The following is a 20,936-nucleotide window of genomic DNA, read 5'->3' as shown; positions in this document are numbered from 1 at the left end:
AAAGGCTCACTGGGAGCACTGACAGTTTAGTTGCATTTTGAAGAATGAATTGGAGTAGTACTGACAAAAATACTATAATGCAGTGGTGGATTCCTGTTGTTGAGAAAGCCAAGCTGTAATAGAGTAGATTATATTACTGCCGGAGAGCACATGGTATTGGTTAGGTATCTAAATGTATATGGGGTAATGGAAAAATGGAAGTTCCTAAGAAGATCAGTCCTAGTTTGCATTTTGATTGACATTTTTGTATCCTCAGACTTTGAAATACTCGTGGGATATGAAGTGGAGGTGCCTAGAGGGTTGAAGATAATGAGGACAGATGAAGAAATGTTTGATTGTGCCATACTTACAGTTGCTGATTTTCAAGGTGTGGGTACTTCCTTAGCCTTATTCTCTGTGTTACCTTTCAATACCATTAGTAACAGTTCTTTAAAAGCCAACTTTACTGAGGAATAATTTACAGCCAGATATACCTGTTTTATGTGGACAGTTAAATGATTTTTTTGTTTTTTGTTTTTTTTTTGAGATGGAGTCTAACTCTGTCACCCAGGCTAGAGTGCAGTGGCGTGATCTTGGCTCACTGCAACCTCTGTCTCCTGGGTTCAAGCGATTCTCCTGCTCAGCCTCCCAAGTAGCTGGGACTACAGGCGCCTGCCACCACGTCTGGCTAATTTTTGTAATTTTAGTAGAGACGGGGTTTCACCATATTGGTTAGGCTGGTCTCGAACTCCTGACCTCAAGTGATCCATCCGCCTCAGCCTCCCAAAGTGCTGGGATTACAGGCGGGAGCCACCATGCCTGGCAGGTAAATGAGTATTTTCAAAAGTCAGGTTTGTTGAGGTATAATTTAAGTACAGTAAAGTTTACCCTTTTTTTTTGGTGGAGCGGGGGCAGGATCTCACTCTGTCACCTAGGCTGGAGTGCAGTGGTGTGATCATAGCTTACTGCAGCCTAGTCTTCCTGGCTCAAGTGATTCTCCCACCTCAGCCTCCTAAGTAGCTGGGACTATAGGCGTGTGCCACCAAGGCCGGCTAATTTTTTGATTTTTTTGTATAGATGAGCTCTTTCTATGTTGCCCAGGCTGGTCTTGAACTCCTGGGCTCAAGCAATCCTTCTGCCTTGCCCTCCCAGAGTGCTGGGTTTACACGTGTGAACCAATGTACCAGGCCAAGTTCACCTTTTAAAATTATGTAGTTTGATGGTTTTAACACATATATCTACCCATGTAACCATTACTATGAGATCAAGATATAGAACGTTTCCATCATTCCCATACTCCCTTGCAGTCGGTTCCCACAGCCCCAGCCCACTGATTCGTGTTCTGCACTGTAGATTAGTTATCCTTGTCATATAAATGGAGTCATATGGTATATACTTTTTTGTGTCTGGTTTCCTTCTCTGAACATGAGGTTTTTGAGATTCATTCATGTTATTGCTCAGTCTGATACACTGATAATGATCCATGGACTTGGGGCCCAAAAGAAATAGGTTCATGACAAAGTTAAGGACAGGAAGGTAATTTTTATTTATTTAAAAATACATGCAATAATAAAAAAATTAAAAAGAATGTATGAAAGAAAAATGAAGTGATTAAAAAAATGAAACAAAACATGTACACTGGCACTGTTTTTAGACCTCTGGTGTTTATTATCATTAGATATGTTGCATAGTGTAATTGGAAGAACATTGAAATGACCATGAAACCTGGTTTTCTGGTCTATATATGCTACAGACTTCCTTTGTGACCTTAGACAAATCATTCTCCTTGTGGGCCTCTTTTTCTATAAGGTGCCTCTTAACTTTAAAGTTCCAGTCCAGATGCAGTATAACTAAATACCTGGATAGAAAAGGATGAAGAAAATTTTAATAGATTGACCAGCTTGAAATGTCAGTCTCTAAGAAGGGTACAGAGCATTTTATATTGAGTGCCAACAGCAGAGTGCATAGCCTTTGTTATGTCTGTCCTTAAGTCTAGTAGGCAAAGTAGCTGCTAGACTCTGAACTGTCCCTTCTTGTTTTTTTTTTTTTGTCTTTTTGTTTTTGAGACAGAGTCTCGCTCTGTCGCCCAGGCTGGAGGGCAGTGGCTTGATCTCTGCTCACTGCAACCTCCGCCCCCTGGGTTCAAGTGATTCTCCCACCTCAGCCTCCTGAGTAGCTGGGATTACAGACGTGCACCACCATGCCTGGATATTTGTTTTTTTTTTTTTTTTTTTTTAGTAGAGACGTGGTTTCGCCATGTTGGCCAAGCTGGTCTAGAACTCCTGGCCTCAAGTGATCCGCCTGCCTTGGCCTCCCAAAGTGCTGGGATTACAGGTGTGAGCCACCATGCCTGGCCTTGTCCCTTCTTGTTATACTCCCGTAGGTGGTGGTTTTGCAAGTTAAGAGCCACACTAAGTCATGTGAAGTATAGGGAAAATGCCCACTCATTGAGTTTTATGCATAGAGACACTCAGAGAAGAAAGAAAGACTGGTCTTATTTATGTATGTATATGTAAAACTATATGTGCACAGAAAGCTAGATATTGTGCTGCATGTGGGAAGATTTTAATCATACCTTCTTATTTTGAAAAGACACCTTACTGCCCCATCAAGTTTAAATTGTAGGGGAAAGGAAGAAAAGGTGGGAATAGGAAAAGAAAACAGCTGTCTATCAAACGGTGTACAAAGGAGCTTATGTCCACTATCTTATTTAATCCTCTGAACACTCTTTTGGAGGGTCTATCAGTCAAGGTGCAGTCACAAGGAAAATAAATTGTAGTAGGTGTTATAAACAGAGAACATTCAATAGCGAGAATTGCATAATTGGGTGTTAGAAGAATAAAAGAACAACAACAAAAAAGGCATGCTGAGGTACCCCAGAGTTAATAACTAGAGGAAGTAGCTATCACCTCTAAGTCTGGGAGAACAAAAGGGGAGGTAGTGTTACCAGAACTAGGAGCTTGGTGGAGGTCTCCTGGAGGGCTGGTGCCTGGACCTCTGGGCATAAGCTTTGGGTAGCTGGTACTCAGATCCTTGGCCTGACAGGTGATTGATAGGCCCAGGCAGTGAGGTCCAGAGGATGAGTGAGCATGGCAAGGTTGATATTCTGACTGCCAAAGAGCCACAACCCACTGCTGCTGGTACCTCTATGGCTTTTCACCAGACTGTTGAAAGAAGCTAGAGACTGGAATTAAGTCTCTGTTACAGCTGGAGCAATACTGATAACAGCTGGGAAATAGGAAGGAAGGCCCTTTTCTTACCTTTCTGCCTTCCGGTTTGGTGAACAGAACAGGAAGGAGCTAGCAAAGGAGTCTTGGAAATGAAGTTTGCAGAATCTTGGCCCCATTGTCACAGAGCACAGCATAAAAGGGTAGGTTTGGAGCTGAGAGACAATAGGTAAATAACCAGGACAGTAAATATCATGCATATTTTACAAAGAGAACACTGAAGCTGAAAAGGTTAAATTATTTGCAAAAGATCATTTAAGTGGACAGATCTGGAATGTAAACCCAGGCCTGTGCTGTTTCCACTATCATATTTTGTCTAATCCAAGGTGCCATTGATTGTTAGAAACACTGTTATTTTATGTACCACTAAGAAAAAATACAGTACTGCCAGCCAGGCGCGGTGGCTCATGCCTGTAATCACAACACTTTGGAAGGCCGAGGTGGGCGGATCACCTGAGGTCAGGAGTTCGAGACCAGCCTGGTCAACATGGCGAAACCTTGTCTCTACTAAAAATACAAAAATTAGCCAGGTGTGGTGGCGCGCCTACAGTCTCAGCTACTCTGCAGGCTGAGGCAGGAGCATCGCTTGAACCTGGGAGTCGAAGGTTGTAGTGAGTTGAGATCTGGCCAGTGCATTCCAACCTGGGCGACAGAGTGAGACTCTGGCTCAAAACAACAACAAAAACAGTACTGCCAATTTAATAAGGCATCAATTGTAAAATACATACCAATTTCAGATTTTTTTTTTGAGACACCCATCTCATTCTGTTACCCAGGCTAGAGTGCAGTAGCATGACTATGACTTACTGCAGCCTCAACCACACGTGCCCAAGCAATTTATCTGCCTCAGCTGCGCCCCCCACCCCCCACCCCAAGTAACTGGGGCTGCAGGAACACACGACTGTGCCAGCTAATTTTTGTATTTTTTTTATAGACAGGGTTTTGCCATGTTGCCTAGGCTGGTCTCGAATTCCTGGTCTCAAGCCATCCTCTCATCTCAGCCTCCCAAAGTGCTGGGATTACAGGCATGAGCCACTGCACCCGGCCTAGGAGATTTTTTTAAAGTAAAAAGAAAAGAAGTAGAACCTTAAAACTGATTAAATATGGCATATTATGCTGCCTTGTAAAGAATTTTGTTTTGGAGTTGTTGATTTTGAAATACCTAGGAGATACCCAGGTAAAACATTTAGTAGGCAGTTTTAAAATGTGGAGTTATAGCTCAGAAGAAAGATAGAAGTCAGAGATACAGAGGTGAAGGTCATCTGCACACCAGAGTCGTGATCCAGAAACAACCCTGGTAACTTGTTTTTTGGCTTTAACGGTCTCTGAGTCTATTATTTCTACCATTTATCCTTTGCCTATCTCTTTGTGATGGCATCTGCTGGTAAACCTTGATATTATCTTTTATTATTCAGAAACGCTTTTTTTTCCTTAAATTTCCACAAGCAAGATCATTTTCTTTTCTCTCTTTTATTTGAAAAGTACGTGACCTGCCAGCATGCAGTCTTCACAGGATGCAGTTGTGAAAGTACTGTTATGGGTATGGTAGTGAAAAGCAGGTCTCCAGAAAATATAGGTGGTGTTTTTATGGCTTCTGTATTTTTATAGGTCCAGCATGTCTGGCTTGCACCTAGTAAAGCAGGGCCGAGACAGAAAGAAAATAGATTCTCAACGAGATTTCACTGTGGCTTCTCCAGCAGAATTTGTTACTCGCTTTGGGGGAAATAAAGTGATTGAGAAGGTAAGTTGTAACTTGCTGAATTATTTTGTCAAAAGCACTTAGGATTTAATGCTTGCCTAGATTTGTTGTCTAGATTTGCTCCCAATTGATATTTAGTTTCTCAGAGGCTTTGCCTCTTTATGTGAATTTTAGCCTTTCTGCCTCCCTAGCATCCTATTAATATAATTTCACTGTTTTCCTATAATATGTATTTACCACAGATAATTTAATCATAGCTAATTAAGGAGTTAAAATAGTGCTCATAAAGTTATTTTTGAGTCCCAGCAACTTGGGGGGCTAAAATGGAAGGATCACTTGAGCCCAGGAGTTCAAGGTTGCAGTGAGCTATGGATTGTGCCACTGCACTCCAACGTGGGCGACAGAGGGACCCTGTCTCAAACAAAACATGTTTTTGAAAGATCTTGTGGTTTTACAGGGTGGGGCTGCACTGATCTGACAGGGTATGAAGAATTGATTAGCTTGTGGGTGCTGGTGGGGAGATAATATGCCACAGCACTGGTTTGAAAGCTAAGGGAGTAGAGAGAGTTTCAGAAGAGAAGGCTTAAAGAGTTTGATACACTGTGACTTACTGGCTTCCACCAAGTATTTGAGATGTTTCAAGGGAATATACCACATGATATACTTAGAGATTCCAGGTATTTTGAAATGTAATTCCGTGTCACTTTTGTCTAAACCATGTCAGAGCTGAGAGGATGACTTGGCTGAAATAGCTTCCAGTGATTAAAAGATTAAAGGATGGGGACCTGTATTTCCACTCCTAAAAGTATTACTTCATCAGCATCCTTTTATTAGTCTTCCAATAAAGACAGATTATGTGTCTATTAGTCTGTGTTATCCTTAGAGGCATGACTGCAAGATAGGTAAGGAGACGAAAGGTTTGTTTACAGAAAGTCTCAGGATTATTCTATTTTTCTACAACAGTGACCATTCTTTCTGAGGCATTCTCTACAATTCTAAGGTATTGGAGTTCAGTATTTTGGAGAAAAGTAACTAATACCAGGGTTTTTAAACATGTTCAGTGCTCTGTACCTCATTTTATTGCAACAGAGAAGAGTGCATGGCACTGCACTGGTTGGCCTTCCCCCATTCCTGATTTCATAATATACCATACCCACAATATGGTAGTATGGTAGAATAATTCACAAAGTCACAGATTTAAGTAATTGTGACTTTTCCCTTCAAATAAATGAAGTTAGAAAGGAGTATGTTTTAGCTGGCACATACTCAAGTATTTGCTTAGTTAACATTTAAAGATACTGCTTGGCCTTGGGGAAGCCAGTTTCTAACAGTCTGGACCAGTAACAAGAATTCTTGGTTGAAAGTATGACTTTTACACAGAAAGATAGATATGTAAAAATTCTCTCATCTCTTTTCCTCCATTGTTGCTTTTTTCTGCCTTTTCTTCCCATTCCCATCTCCTTCCCCCTCCCAGGTTCTTATTGCTAACAATGGCATTGCAGCAGTGAAATGCATGCGGTCTATCCGTAGGTGGTCTTATGAAATGTTTCGAAATGAACGTGCAATTAGATTCGTTGTCATGGTCACACCTGAAGACCTTAAAGCCAATGCAGGTGAGTTATTAGCATTATGAAAGCATCACTCTCAAAACTAAAACATGGAACAGCACAGCCTTTAAGTAGGAGAATGTTAACTTAGGGGGATTCCCAAACATAGGACTTCCAAGTAAAATCCTTTTAAAATAATTTCTGTTTAAAATGTGTCAGTAATAGACATATAAAAATGATTGCACTATAGTCAACCTCAATACAGATTCCTGTGTCCTAGGGATAAGTAGGAAGAAATTTAACAAAAGTGTTGATTTGGGCTTTCAAGTGTATGCCTTTTTCAGTGTTAAATATTTGCTATGCCACATTCTTTGGAATGCGTAAGTGGAAAGATTTAGAAGGAAATGCTGTTTTTTCCTTATGCGTTATATTGAATTATAGAAAAACTTTGGGTTAAGATTTTTTTTTTCTCTTCCTGAGGGAGAGACCTTTTGGGACCGAAGTGTGTTTCACTCTGTAAATTCGGCTACATATTCTTTTTACTCAGATGGTTCTCTGTCTGATAGTTGTAGATAAAGACTGTTGGTATAGCTGAAAGATATGACTAGTCTTTCTTCTCCATACCTTCTATCACTAAGGTATAATCTCTTAAGGTAGAGTACCCACAGATAATGTGAAGAGCTATGTTTTTTTACTTTTTTTTATCTTTTACTCCTAGGAAGCTGCGAAAAAGAGCTATCCTTTTATACTTATTTTAGTCTGCATATGTTTTTTCTTTGTTGAGACAATGGTATTATGATTATTCCTAAGAAAGAAAGGTTATTATATCATCTTATTTAGAAATTGAGAAGACACCAATTTATTAGAAAGCAAATGTTATATATTAGATCATTCTTGCATTGCTATAAAGAAATACCTGAGGCTGCGTAATTTGTAAAGAAAAGAGGTTTAATTGGCTCACAATTCTACAGGCTTTACAGGAAGCATGGTGCTGGCATCTGCTCTGCTTCTGGGGAGGCCTCAGGACACTTACTGGGGGAAGATGAAGGGGGAGTAGGCACATCACATAGCCAGAGCAGGAACAACACAGAGAATTGTGGGGAGGGTGCCACACACTTTTAAACAACCAGATCTCATGTGAACTTAGAGTGAGAACTCACGTATCATCAAGGAGATGGCCCAAGCCATTCATGAGGGAGCTGCCCTCATGATCCAAACACCTCCTACCAGGCCCCATTTCCGAGACTGGGGATTACAATTCAATATGATATTTGGTGAGGGACATACATTCAAACTATATCATGTTATTATATGAAATCATTTAGATGCACACTTTCACATCTCTGAGCCACAAGTTTCATACTTATAAAAGGAAGATCCTAATGTCTAATTCACTGGATAATTGTAAAGATGAGATCATCTATAATAAATACAGATTAACTTGCGTGGTTTTTTTCTTTTTTCTTTTGAGAGGGAGTCTTGCTGTGTCACCAGGCTGCAGTGCAGTGGTGCAAACTCAGCTCACTGCAACCTCCGCCTCCTGGGTTCATGCAATTCTTCTGTCTCAGCCTCCCAAGTAGCTGGGACTACAGGTGTGTGCCACCATGCCCAGCTAATTTTTGTATTTTTAGTAGAGACAGGGTTTCACCATGTTGGCCAGGATGGTCTCGGTATCTTGACCTTGTGATCCACCTGCCTTGGCCTCCCAAAGTACTAGGATTACAGGTGTAAGCCACTGCGCCCGGTCCGGTTTCTTTTTCCTCATTCATTTCTACCTGGTACTCCAATTAATTCATTTATTCATTCACTTAACATGGAGATTGACAGTTGAATAAGATGTGATCTTGTTCTAGGAAACAAATGATTTCAATACAATGAGGTAAGTGCTATAAAAGAAACATGCACAGGGTCCGGTGAGAACACAGAGATGAGACATCTAATTCTTGGGGGCAGGCTTAAGAGAAAGCTTTCTTAGGCTGAGTGTGGTGGCTCATGCCTGTAATCCCAGCACTTTGGGATGCTCAAGCGGGTGGATCACTTGAGGTCAGGAGTTTGGGACCAGCCTGGTCAACATGATGAAACCCCATCTCTACTAAAAATACAAAAATTAGCTGGGCATGGTGCTGGTGCCCGTAAATCCAGCTACTCGGAAGCTGAGGCAGGAGAATCGCATGAACCCAGGAGGAGGAGGTTGTGGTGAGCTGAGATCGTGCCACTGCATTCCAGCCTGGGCCACAAAGCGAGACTCAGTCTCAATGAAAAAAAAAAAAAAAAGAGAGAAAGACAGCTTTCTGAAAGAGATTATGTCTAACCAAGAATGAGTAAGAGTTAGTGAAGCAATTGGGGGGAGAGAAAGGTGTACCAGACAGAAAGAACAGCATTGCAAATGCATAAAGGTATGACACAAGTGGTTTTCTAGAAATTACGGATGGCTACAAGATGTGATATAGTATTTGCCAAGGGGGACCTTGTTTTCCATCCTCAAAAGCACAGACTTTGTCTTTTAAGGAGAGTATGTGTGTGTGTTGGACATCTAAGGATTTGCATTTTAAATGAATGTGTTTTTTGGGGTGTGTGTGTGTGTGTGTGTGTGTGTGTGTGTTAACTATGTAAAAGTTGAAGAGTATAATGAATCCCTTCCCATCTACCTGTCATGCAATATCAATAATTATCAACTTATGGCGAATCTAGTTTCATCTATATTCTTAACCCCGTGCACAATTATTTTGATGCAAATCCTTGATACCATATTATTCTTCATGTTATCTGTGAAGATACTCTACCTTAAGATTAAGAGATTATACCTTATTGATAAAAAGCATGGAGGGCCAGGCATGGTGGTTTACGCCTGTAATCTCAGCACTTTGGGAGGCCAAGGCAGGCGGATCACTTGAACCCAGGAGTTCAAGGTCAGCCTGGACCATGTGGTGAAATTGTCTCTACAAAAAATGCAAAAATTAGCTGGGCATAGAGGCGCATGCCGGTAGTCTCAGCTACTCCGGAGGCTGAGGTGGGAGAATCACTTTAGCCCGGGAGGTCGAGGTCGCAGTGAGCCATGACCATGCCACTGCATTCCAGTCTGGGTGTCAGAGTGAGATCTGGTCTCAAAAACAAACAAACAAACAAAAAAGAAATCTAAACCAAAACAATACTAAAGATTTTTTTTTAACTTACAAAACTCACAAAATTGAAGACATTGATAATACCTAACATAGGTGAGAGTATTTGGTACCCATGTTGCTAGTGAGAGTCTGAAAATGTGAATACCTTTTGACCCAATAGTTTTATTGCTAGTAACATATCTGTGGATATAATTGGACAGCCGTACAGAGACACACATTATTTTATTATTTTTCAAATTATACATAATCTGTACTTCCATTGATAAGTTAGTAGTCAAATGAATTATATAGGCTATTGAAATATTAGGTATCCATAAAAAATATTAAACATATATATACCAAAAATATATATATTTATGTACAGTAAAGCATAAACTGGTTGTCTTTGAGGTGGGACAATAGGTGAGAGTCTCACTCTGTCCCCCAGGCTGGAGTGCAGTGGCGCAATCTCGGCTCACTGCAACCTCTGCCTCCTGGGTTCAAGCGACTCTCATGCCTCAGCCTCCCGAGTGGCTGGGATTACAGGTGCCCACCACCAGGCCCAGCTAATTTTTTTTTTTTTTTTTAGACGGAGTCTTGCTCTGTCACCCAGGTTGGTGCAGTGGCGTGATCTCAGCTTACTGCAACCTCTGCCTCCCAGGTTCAAGCGATTCTCCTGCCTCAGCCTCCCTCAGCCTCACTCTGTCTGTGGTGGGACTACAGGCTTGTGCCACCATCCCCGGCTAATTTTTTGTATTTTTAGTAGAGATGGGGTTTCACCATGTTAGCCAGGATGGTCTCCATCTCCTGACCTCGTGATCCGCCCACCTCAGCCTCCCAAAATGCTAGGATTACAGGCGTGAGCCACTGCGCCTGGCCAATTTTCACTTTTAAAATATAGTATTGTTATATTCTGTTGTATTATCTAACATTGTTTAATAATTTGCATGCTTTCCTTCCTATAATCAAAGAGAACAATAAGCCTATTTTAATTTTGAAGAAATTCTAGCGGAATTTTTTTTAGTAGAATTTTTTTTAGAAGGGACTTAAAATCTTTTAGAAATAAGAACAAGATAATCACCATTCTGACTGGCATGAGATGATATCTCATTATGGTTTTGATTTGCATTTCTCTAATGATCACTGATGTTGAGGTTTTTTTTAAAATATGTTTGTTGGCCGCATAAATGTCTTCTTTTGAGAAGTGTCTGTCTGTTCCTGTCCTTTACCAGTGCATGTGGGGCTTAATACCTAGGTGATGGGTTGATAGGTACAGCAAACCACCATGGCACACGTTTACCTATGTAACAAACCTGGATGTCCTGCACATGTATCCTGGAACTTACATTTTTAAAAAAGAACAAGATAAAATAAATTTATTATTAGTAAATAATGGTGGATGCTTGAGTTGAAATTTGAAAGCTAAAATAAATTTATAAATGGTGGAAATGAACTTTGAGGAAGTTACTTAACTCCTCCAAGCCATCATTTTCTGTCACATATTGGGTTGATGAGAGAATTAAATGAGATAATATATATACAAAGTGCTAGTTACAGTCCCTACACGTGGTAGCTCTTCTGTTACAGTTGTCATTGCCAGAATAGGAAAATAGAGATGTTAGGTGACAAATTTGAAAGGGAATACTGTACAACAAATATATATGAGAAAGTGGTTATCTTTCTAAAGTTTCTTACAAATACCTGTTACCCTCAGTATTCCAGATAAACTCTTTCCAGACACTCCTGTAACTAACCTTTCTTGTTTAGCCAGTTTGCAAGCCATTCAGGCTCTCCTATCTTTCTCCATTCTGTCAAGCTCTGTACCAGGAAAAGGGCTTTCTCTAGGTCCAGTGCCAGTTAAAGACAAAGGATGTCAGGACTAGAACTTTTTCTCGGAATAGAGTAATTGCACTTGGGCCCCTAACTGACAGACACATCAGCCTTGATATAGAAGTCATAAAGATTCCTCAGAAAGATTACATAGTGAAATGTTGGAGAATTGCTATTTTACTATAAGAGCTTCTAAATATGGGATTAACTCGTATTAGTGCTTGTGACTTAACAAACTAAGAGCCTCGAACTAAATGGTCCTGGAAATTATCCTACTAATGCTGTTTGTCCTGTGGTTACTTATGATAGTCCCTGACCTTTACGTAGTTTTGCTGTGCAATTATATTTCTGGAAAAAAAAATCATGTGTTCTCTATTAATTCGCTTGCATTTTCAGAATACATTAAGATGGCAGATCACTATGTGCCAGTGCCTGGAGGACCAAACAACAACAACTATGCAAATGTGGAATTAATTCTTGATATTGCTAAAAGGATCCCAGTACAAGTAAGAGATGCCAATGTGTCCTTTAAAACCAAATTCAGCCATTTTATAGTTAGGCACAAGGGGATATCTAGAGAAGAACATTTTTGTAAAGCATCATTTTCGAAAATTATTAAATGCCTGTGTATGGGATAACTAAACCAAATAAGGAAAAGAAAGATGGAAATAATGGAATGGCTAAAAATAAAGTAAACGTAATACAAACAGAAGGTTTGGAAGCATCTTTCAGAGATTATTTATTCTAGGTATCTCACCTTTGAGCCAGTAAAAATTACCTGTTTGTTGTGGAATATTAGCCTAAAGGATGGTGGTATATTAAAGAAGTAGGCTGTTTCTTCCCTGTCACATTGTGTTAGTAAGTTTAGGGTAGGTACCTTAAAGCCCAAAGAGGAAAAAACTCTAAACTTAGATGGCAGTGTAATCAATAATGATGTAATGGAGTGGCCATAGTAATTGAATATGTGAAACATAGCCAGTTTTTCTAGAAAACGCCCTTTACAGCCTAGGCTATGAATTGAGTTTCCTAAAGAGCAACAAGTATAACTGGATCTTAATATCAATTTCAACTTGGTTTTGACCCCTTCAGAAATCTTGCCACAATGGACTACTTATTGTTACTCTGTAAAGAGTTTGCCAACAATCAAGCATAGAAGCTGAATTAAGCATTAGGCTGCTGTGGAACTACTGTACCTCAAGAAACAGGGCCAGCCTGGATAGAGACTCTTGCAGTTTGTGGGGGTTTTGTATGAATTTTAAGAATGAATTATATTGTATTCCCTTGCAGGCAGTGTGGGCTGGCTGGGGTCATGCTTCTGAGAATCCCAAACTACCGGAACTTCTCTTGAAAAATGGCATTGCCTTCATGGGTAAGCTGTTCTGACATATTGTCCGTCTTTCTGTTTCTTTCTGTCAATTTTGCCCACATTTTACTCTATAGTCTGATTTTCTGTTTAACATGTGCTGGGCTCTCTCTCTCTTTTTTTTTCCCTCAATCTATTACTAACTCTCAGAGTAACCCTCTTCATTTCTTTCTTTTTTTTCATTTTTTGCTTATCTCACTTCATCTTGATTTTGTTTTCTGTCCCTGGGTCAGATATGGAGATATGGAGAAGGCTTTGGTTTCTAAAACTCTGACCTTTTAAAACTTTGCAGCTAACCTTAAGAAAGCATGTGGGAAAATGACCTGTTTTTAGATAGTGAAGATAATTGAATACTCAGGATGCCTTGGCAGTGTGCCCTTAAATATGAATCAGCACCTGTGCATTTAAGCATATAGGTGATACTCCTACAAGTGAGAGATACTTCTTCTGACTTTTCTGCTGTCATTATACCAGAGAGAAAAACAGAGGTTATATAGCTCAAAGTATTTTTCTCTCGGTCTCAGAGACCTTAAACAATGAAGATTATGTTTTGTAAACCTTTTTAAAGATGTCTCCTTTTTGGGTTCCCCTAAGACCAAAGAGCGTATACTATTTCAGACTTGAATCCTAAAACTTTAAAGTCCTTATTTCAGGATATTGACTTAAAAAAGAAGACTTTATTGATCTGGTGAAGTTGGATCATGAAGAATGATAACATTATAGCTAGATTTGTCAAAAATTTAATTCAGCATACATTTATATATATTGAGCTCTCACTCTGCACAAAAAGCTTACTACATTAGGTTTTACAGATGGTACAAAGATAAGTCAAAGCATAATAGTCCCCATAATTTATGATCTCCTTGATATGTGAGGGGTGGGGGGAGGACAAGACAAATACATAAATAGCTATAATACAAGGCAACTACATGTGCCAGAAATGAGGCCAAGGTGTTACAGTCAGGATTCTTTTCCTGTTTCGTTTTTAGGTCCTCCAAGCCAGGCCATGTGGGCTTTAGGGGATAAGATTGCATCTTCCATAGTGGCTCAAACTGCAGGTATCCCAACTCTTCCCTGGAGCGGCAGTGGTAAGAACTGAATTCTTGTTTGTATCTTGAAGTACAGAATAGCTCAGTAGGATATTTGGGACTTACCTCTTTTGAAAAAGTATTGGTATACTTGACAAGAAATGGAATACTGGTTGATTAATGGTACCTTGTAGCTCCTAGCTTAATTAATACACCTGTGATTCTTTTAGTAATATAAATTTAGTTCCAGGTACACAGATGCTAAATTGTGATCTGGAGTGATCTTGTGAGTTAACTTAGAAAAACTCTGGGAAAACATGTATATGGTTTTGTGGGTTTAGATGTACTCTGGGTAGGCTAGAATCTTCCTCAGAGGTGGGCTTCCCAGGGGGAATTGGGTCTTCAGACCTGCCTGGGAGTAGCCTGGATCACTAGGAAAAACCTAAAACCCACTTACTCAAATGTTTCCTTGCCAATGTTTTTTTTCTTTTTTTTTCTTTTTTTTTTTTTTTTTTGAGTTGGAGTCTCACTCTGTTGCCCAGGCTGGAGTGCAGTGGCATGATCTTGGCTTACTGCATCCTCCACCTTCCGGGTTCAAGCAATTCTCTGCCTCAGCCTCCCGAGTAGCTGGGATTACAGGCACCCGCCACCACACCCGGCTAATTTTTGTATTTTTTTGTAGAGACAGGCTTTCACCATCTTGGCCAGGCTGGTGTTGAACTCCTGACCTTGTGATCTACCTGCCTTGGCCTCCCAAAGTGCTGGGATTACAGGCATGAGCCACCGCGCCTGGCGCCAATGTTTTCTTGATATCAACCCACAATCTATTGATGATTTGATTTGACTGTTTAAAAACCATTCAACCTCAGTTGCCCTTGATGCAGAAAATGAGGTCAGTAATTAACCTTTCTTCCAGGCATGCCAGAGGGGCAAGAATTTTCAAAAAGTGATTTATTCTCAACACATCCCTTAAACAGTTCCATGTGAATTATTATAGCTGATAACAATATGAACCTTTTTTTTTTTTTCTTAAGTACTCAAGCACTGGGAACAGACATACACTAAAACCTCTTTTAAATGGGAATGACCACTGTCTTGAGGCTGAACAGATTTGAACCCTTGTTACTCTGGCTCTCCAGGGAGATTGCAATATCCTCTCCAGATCTGCTGGGTCAAATAGTTTAAAATAAAAGGTTGAATTTGTTCTTGTTTGAATGGAGAGGCTATAGTGTTCCCCTTATGGCTGAGTACAGGGACGTTCAGAGAGCATGGAATCATGACTCTGCTGAGGCCAATAAAACCGCCATTTCTATTTCCAAGGGCTCATAAAGATTGAATTATTTCCCAGACCTCTTGGCCCTGGAGCAGGCCTGAACACACAGTTTGAAGGTATTTTGCCTGCTGAGTTGCTGTGAGAAGTATGCTATGTTCTTTTTTTGTTTGTTTTGATCTTGTACGTCTTTGCATTTTTATAAGTTGCTCCCTGTTAGTTCGGCTGGCTTTTGCCAGCGTTAAGAACCCAAGTTGCCGGGTCATGCTGTGGCTAAATCCTGTTAACCCCAAGGACTGATCAGGGTTTTATGGCATCCTTCTTTCTCCCATCCACTCTCAGTTTTGGGTAAATATGATAGCATTTCAAAGAATGCAGAGCAGAAAATTGACAAGAGCAGAAGATCTTGTAATTGCCCTAAGTTGCTATTGTCTGTTGCAGGTCTTCGTGTGGACTGGCAGGAAAATGATTTTTCAAAACGTATCTTAAATGTTCCCCAGGAGCTATATGAAAAAGGTTATGTGAAAGATGTGGATGATGGGCTACAGGTAGGTTACTAACTCCAGGGAGTGATACCTTTCAGCTGACCAGTTATAGTCACAAATGTGGAGATTGGGAGCCTGGCTCGTGATATATACCCAAGGTGGTGTTAGGGATGTAAGACCAGGAGGTGTAGTTTGAAAGTATAGAATACGCTGGTTTCTCTTTAGATTGCATAAGTCTTTTGCCTTTAAAAAGTACAGATTGAGGAAGTGACTTTAAATGTAAACAATCTAAATTCATTTTGAAGCAGGCTGCTCATCTGGACAGAACATTTCTTAGGTGATTAAGTCAGAGTTTTAAGGAGGTGCTGATTCTCTCTCTCTCTACCACCTGTTAGTGTGTGAGGGCGGGGACAACAAACAACATACTTTTTCTACTGGTTGAATTCAGAACCAAGAAGCCAGGAAGCAGAGATCAAACAGTCAGCTTTATTATGAACAGAGATGTTGATGAAAATGGCTTAAGTGTGTAGCAACATTCAGATTTGTAAACTAAACACCAGAGTTAAGCAGGCTCACTCACCCACTGGTTACTGGCAGTGCTGAATGACCACAGATTTCCCTCGACAGAGAGAGAGAGCTTAATTCAGCTTAGTGTATGGCTGAGAGCTGACAAAGAGCATATGTCCTGTGCAGTGGGCTGATCCCAAAGGGGAAAAGGCTGAGCTATGCATATTCAGTCCCTCCTTCCAAGTTGACCAATCACATAATTTATTATTTTTCCCTTGGGGAGGAGCAAGGGAGTGAACCAAGAAAGACTGAAAGTGTTACTCTTAATTATTGTCTATCCATGTAGAAATGTGAACCTAGGCAAAAGGAGATCCTTTCCCCAACATTACCTTTTCTTTCCTTACAGTTCCCTCCAATTTGTTCCCCTTTCACTTTTATAAATAGTTTAAAGTGTTGGTTATGCTTCCAGGTATAATGAAAGATAATGAAAGAGGCTATTGTAGAAAAATACACTGCTTGAGTTTGACTTGTGTCATGTAAATTCAAGAGGGATGCTGAATGTTCAAATAATTTTGTTGTATTGTTTGCATTTTAAGTTAAACATCCTGTAATCTCCTTAATAAGAAGAATTAATATTTCTAATTGAATTTCAAATGCTTTATTTTGTTTGTTATAATTTGCAAAAGAGTAGAAGCTCTTTGTAAGGAACTAGCTATTCTAGCTATTTTGCTTATCGACTAACATTCTTTTTTATTTTTTCTGGTTATAATTATAAACAGCATTTTCTGGTAGAAAATTTGAAAAGCCAAAGATGATGATAAAGCCACATGCAAACACACCATCCAAAGATAATGCCCATTAACCTATTCATTTTTTTATCCCTTTTCAACTCATAGATTTATATCATATACAAATCTTTATTAATAGATTCCTATACTTATAATTATGATAATTATAAGTTTTGGGTCTTACTATTTGTATTGTGTTGGTAATCATAATACTTTTTTCTACTTAATATTTTTTTGTCCTTCTACCTCCCCGCTCCTTACTTAACATTATATTAAAGTGTTAAAATTCTTCCAAAATATTTTTAATGGGTGACCTGTGACTAAAGCTTTCATATATTTTTAAAAGGCCTACCTTCTTACTTACTGACCTCCTATGGGATACCCCCTTTTTTTTTTAAGTCTTTCTCTTTTTTTTAAGCTATCTCTTTGATCATCTATCACTCAGCAATTGAGTTCATCATACTAATTCTGTTTATATGAGCATAGAAAAGAATAAAGAAACATTAGAAAAGGTGAGACTGTGCATAAAAGATTTTCATTCATTAAGTAATCGATTGACATAGATTAAAAATTGAAATGTTCTTTTTCTGGGTGATACTTATTTTATTTTATTTTTTTGGGTTGGAGTCTCACTCTGTTGCCCAGGCTGGAGTACAGTGATGCCATCTTGGCTCACCGCAACCTCCACTTCCCAGATTCAAGTGATTCTCCTGCCTCAGCCTCCAAGTGGCTGTGATTACAGGTTACCGCCACCATGCCCAGCTAATTTTTGTATTTTTAGTGCAGACAGGGTTTCACCAAGTTGGGCTGGCTGGTCTCCAACTCCTGACCTCAAGTGATCCACCCACTTTGGCCTCCCAAAGTGCTGGGATTACAGGTGTGAAGCACTGGGCCAGGCCTGGTGATACATTTTAAAGATATTCTTATAATGTAGCAAAACCTTAAAAGACTGGAATATTTTGACAAAGGAATGACTTGGTTATTTTATTGAAACAGGGTCTCACTTTGTTGCCCAAGCTGGAATGCATTGGCACGATCTTGGCTCATTGCAACCTTTGCCTCTCAGGTTCAAGCAATTCTCGTGCCGCAGCCTCCCGAGTAGCTGGGATTATAGGCATGCAGTACCACGCCCAGCTAATTTTTTGTATTTTTAATAGGGCCAGGGGTTTCACCATGTTGGCCAGGCTGGTCTCGAACTCCTGACCTCAGGTGATCCACCTGCCTCAGCCTCTCAAAGTGTTGGGATTACAGGCACGAGCCACTACGCCCAACCCCACTTCAGCTTATTTTAAGTGAACTCCTTATGTCTTTTTTTTTTTTAATTGTAATACATGGATGCCTGCATACTATAAGCAAGAAATTCCAATAATGCAGAAATACATACAGTGAAAAAGGAAAGTTTTATATCCACGCATCTTTCTTTGTTTTTTGTTTTTGTTTTTTTTGAGATGGAGTTTCGCTCTTGTTGCCCAGGCTGGAGTGCAATGGCGTGATCTTGGCTCACTGCAACCTCCACCTCCCAGGTTCAAGCGATTCTCCTGCCTCAGCCTCCCAAGTAGCTGGGATTACAGGCATGCGCCATCACACCCAGCTAATTTTGTATTTTTAGTAGAGACGGGGTTTCTCCATGTTGGTCAGGCTGGTCTTGAACTCCCGACCTCAGGTGATCCGCCCGCCTTGGCCTCCCAAAGTGCTGTGATTACAGGCGTTAGCCACTGTGCCCGGACCCATTCTTTTCTAAATCATTGCTGGTATGTACTCTGGACTTCACTTCTTTGCACTTACATGTGTGGGTGTATGAATGCATATATAATTTTGTTTTTGACCCATGTGACATTACTTTAGATTGAACCATAAGAAATTGCCTATATTCAGTCATTTTTTTAAATCTATGAAAAAGGCAATTTCTTTTGGTTCAACCTAATACTACAAATATTGTTCTACTATTTATTTTTTCATAGTGTATCTTGAAGATCTTTCTATTTTATTGTATTTAGAATTACTAAATGACTGCATTCTTAAAGGGAGAAAAATGCCAGTTTTCTCCTTCCCTGGTAATAACACTGTTTCTTCTATTTTTTTTTTCTTTCTTTTTGAAGGCAGCTGAGGAAGTTGGATATCCAGTAATGATCAAGGCCTCAGAGGGAGGAGGAGGGAAGGGAATTAGAAAAGTCAACAATGCAGATGACTTCCCTAATCTCTTCAGACAGGTAGAGTATAAGCTGTTTTTGTTTGTTTGAACTAACATGTATATCAGAGATATATGATTTAACTCATACTATAATTTGGATGCCCAGAAAATATTTAATTTTTAATTTTGTCTATAGCTAACTGTCTTTCTCTCTAGTTTCTACCTGCATATTAGCAGAGAAAAAAGGTTAATGAAATGTCCAACTCAATTTTAAGTTTTATTTAATTAGGTAATTCAAACAGTAGAGTTATTCTGTCTTATATAAACGTGCTCAGTTTGTCAGATAGCTCTTTCCTACCTGGTGCGTATGGCTTATAGGACCTCATAATGGCAAAGAAAAATCAATACCTTTCTGTATTTTTGTGCCCCTGTTCTGCTGACTTTGTAGGTCATATGTGATATGGTGGTATGATACTGATATGGTTGCTCTTGGCTTGGCCAGGCCCAGGCTCTCTGATTGACTTTTTCTCACTTTAGTTCACATTGCCTAGAGACCTCTGAGTTTCTATCATATGTCTCATCTACCCTGCTGTCCCAGCACTCTATACCCTAGCCCGTGTTGCATGGCCACCACACCCTGGCACAGGAACCCTATGGCAGGCCTACAGTATATAGGAACTGAGAGTGACTCAGGAAAGCTCGATGTAGGATCTCTCTTTGCCTTACCCTCTGCTTTGCAGCCAAGTTGATGTGGCCATACTATACATTGGTTGCGGAGACGACCAAAGAAGTGATGTCTTTTTAGAATCTTAAACAGAAAGAGAAAAGGGAGACAGGGGTCTCTTTTTGTTCTGTCCTCAGAGTTACCCTCACATATTTAACTCACTTTTTTTCCTCCTACCAATACATAGTAAAAGATTTGTCAAAAAATGGAAAATTGGGACAGAAGTCTGCTCTTTTCACTCTCCTAGCTTCCCTCTTTTTCATAGTTTCCTCATCATCTTCTACTTTGCACTTCTTTTACTAGTGTGCCATGCTACCTTTTATTTCGCTTTTTTTTTTTTTTCCCTTAAAACACTTAGCAGCAAACTCCTTGCTTCACTGTTAAGAGTTAAAAGGAAAGTCTTATGAGCTGGGTCTTCCATGATTTCATATACAGGTGGTCCCCAACTTAAAATTTCAACTTACAATCAACAAACAAACAACTTTACAATACTGTGCAAGTGATAATGCATTCAGTATAAATCTTACTTTGAGTGCCCATACAGCTATTGTTTTTCACTTTCAGTACAACATTCAGTAAACTACATGAGATAGTCAACACTTTATTATAATATAGGCTTTGTGTTAGAAGATTTTGCCCAACTGTAGGCTAATGTGTTTTAAGCACATTTGAGGTAGGCTAGACTAATCTATGGTGTTCATTAGGTTAGGTATATTAAATGCAATTTTGACTTAGAACATTTTCAACTTATGTTGGGTTTATTGGGACATAACCTTATTGTAAGTCAAAGAGCATCTGTACTAGATAAAGGAAGTGATAAAGGTGTTGTCTTGGCCAGGATTGGTGGCTTATGCCTATAATCCTAGCACTTTGGGAGTCTAAAGCGGGAGCATTGCCTGAAGCCAGAAATTTGAGATCAGTCTGGAAGATAAAGTGAGACTCTATCTCTACAAAAAATTGTAAAATAAATAAATCAATAAATAAGGTATTGTTTTGCTACATTATCCTATTTTAAGTGTCAGAAATTGAATATTACCTTGGGTTTTTTTTTTTTTTTTTACATTTTTTTCATTGAATTCTAATTTCATAGGTAGATCAGTGACTCAGAGAGTCTAGAGAAAAAAGACTGCTCTTAGAAGCAAAAAGAAAAAAAAGGCATGTTAATTAATGTTAACTCTTACAGACATTTCAAAACTACTCATTACTTATGGAATCAAATAGTGGAAAAGTCTTAAAACACTAAGGGAAGGTTTTCTG

The 20,936-nt window shown here is 39.5% G+C and overlaps 1 protein-coding gene across 26 annotated transcripts in view; it reads left to right on the top strand.

The window, feature by feature from the left end:
• The window catches only part of ACACA (acetyl-CoA carboxylase alpha), a 321,845-nt gene that overhangs the window by 117,052 nt on the left and 183,857 nt on the right, over positions 1-20,936 (top strand). For 23 of the 26 annotated variants that reach the window (XM_011524701.2, XM_006721853.2, NM_198834.3 and 20 more), the window contains 7 exons: positions 4,815-4,947; positions 6,380-6,518; positions 11,780-11,889; positions 12,671-12,752; positions 13,736-13,834; positions 15,486-15,592; positions 18,924-19,034. In XM_011524701.2, coding sequence (XP_011523003.1) covers positions 4,815-4,947; positions 6,380-6,518; positions 11,780-11,889; positions 12,671-12,752; positions 13,736-13,834; positions 15,486-15,592; positions 18,924-19,034 — 781 coding nt within the window. Of the gene's footprint in view, positions 1-256; positions 370-4,814; positions 4,948-6,379; positions 6,519-11,779; positions 11,890-12,670; positions 12,753-13,735; positions 13,835-15,485; positions 15,593-18,923; positions 19,035-20,936 lie in introns of all 26 variants that reach the window. The other 3 variants (XM_047435888.1, XM_047435889.1, NM_198838.2) reach the window with 2 other exon arrangements.

Source organism: Homo sapiens, chromosome 17 (assembly GCF_000001405.40).
Source record: "Homo sapiens chromosome 17, GRCh38.p14 Primary Assembly".
NCBI lineage: Eukaryota > Metazoa > Chordata > Mammalia > Primates > Hominidae > Homo > Homo sapiens.
Note: the sequence above shows the minus strand (reverse complement) of the source record. Positions and strands in the feature narration are given on the sequence as shown.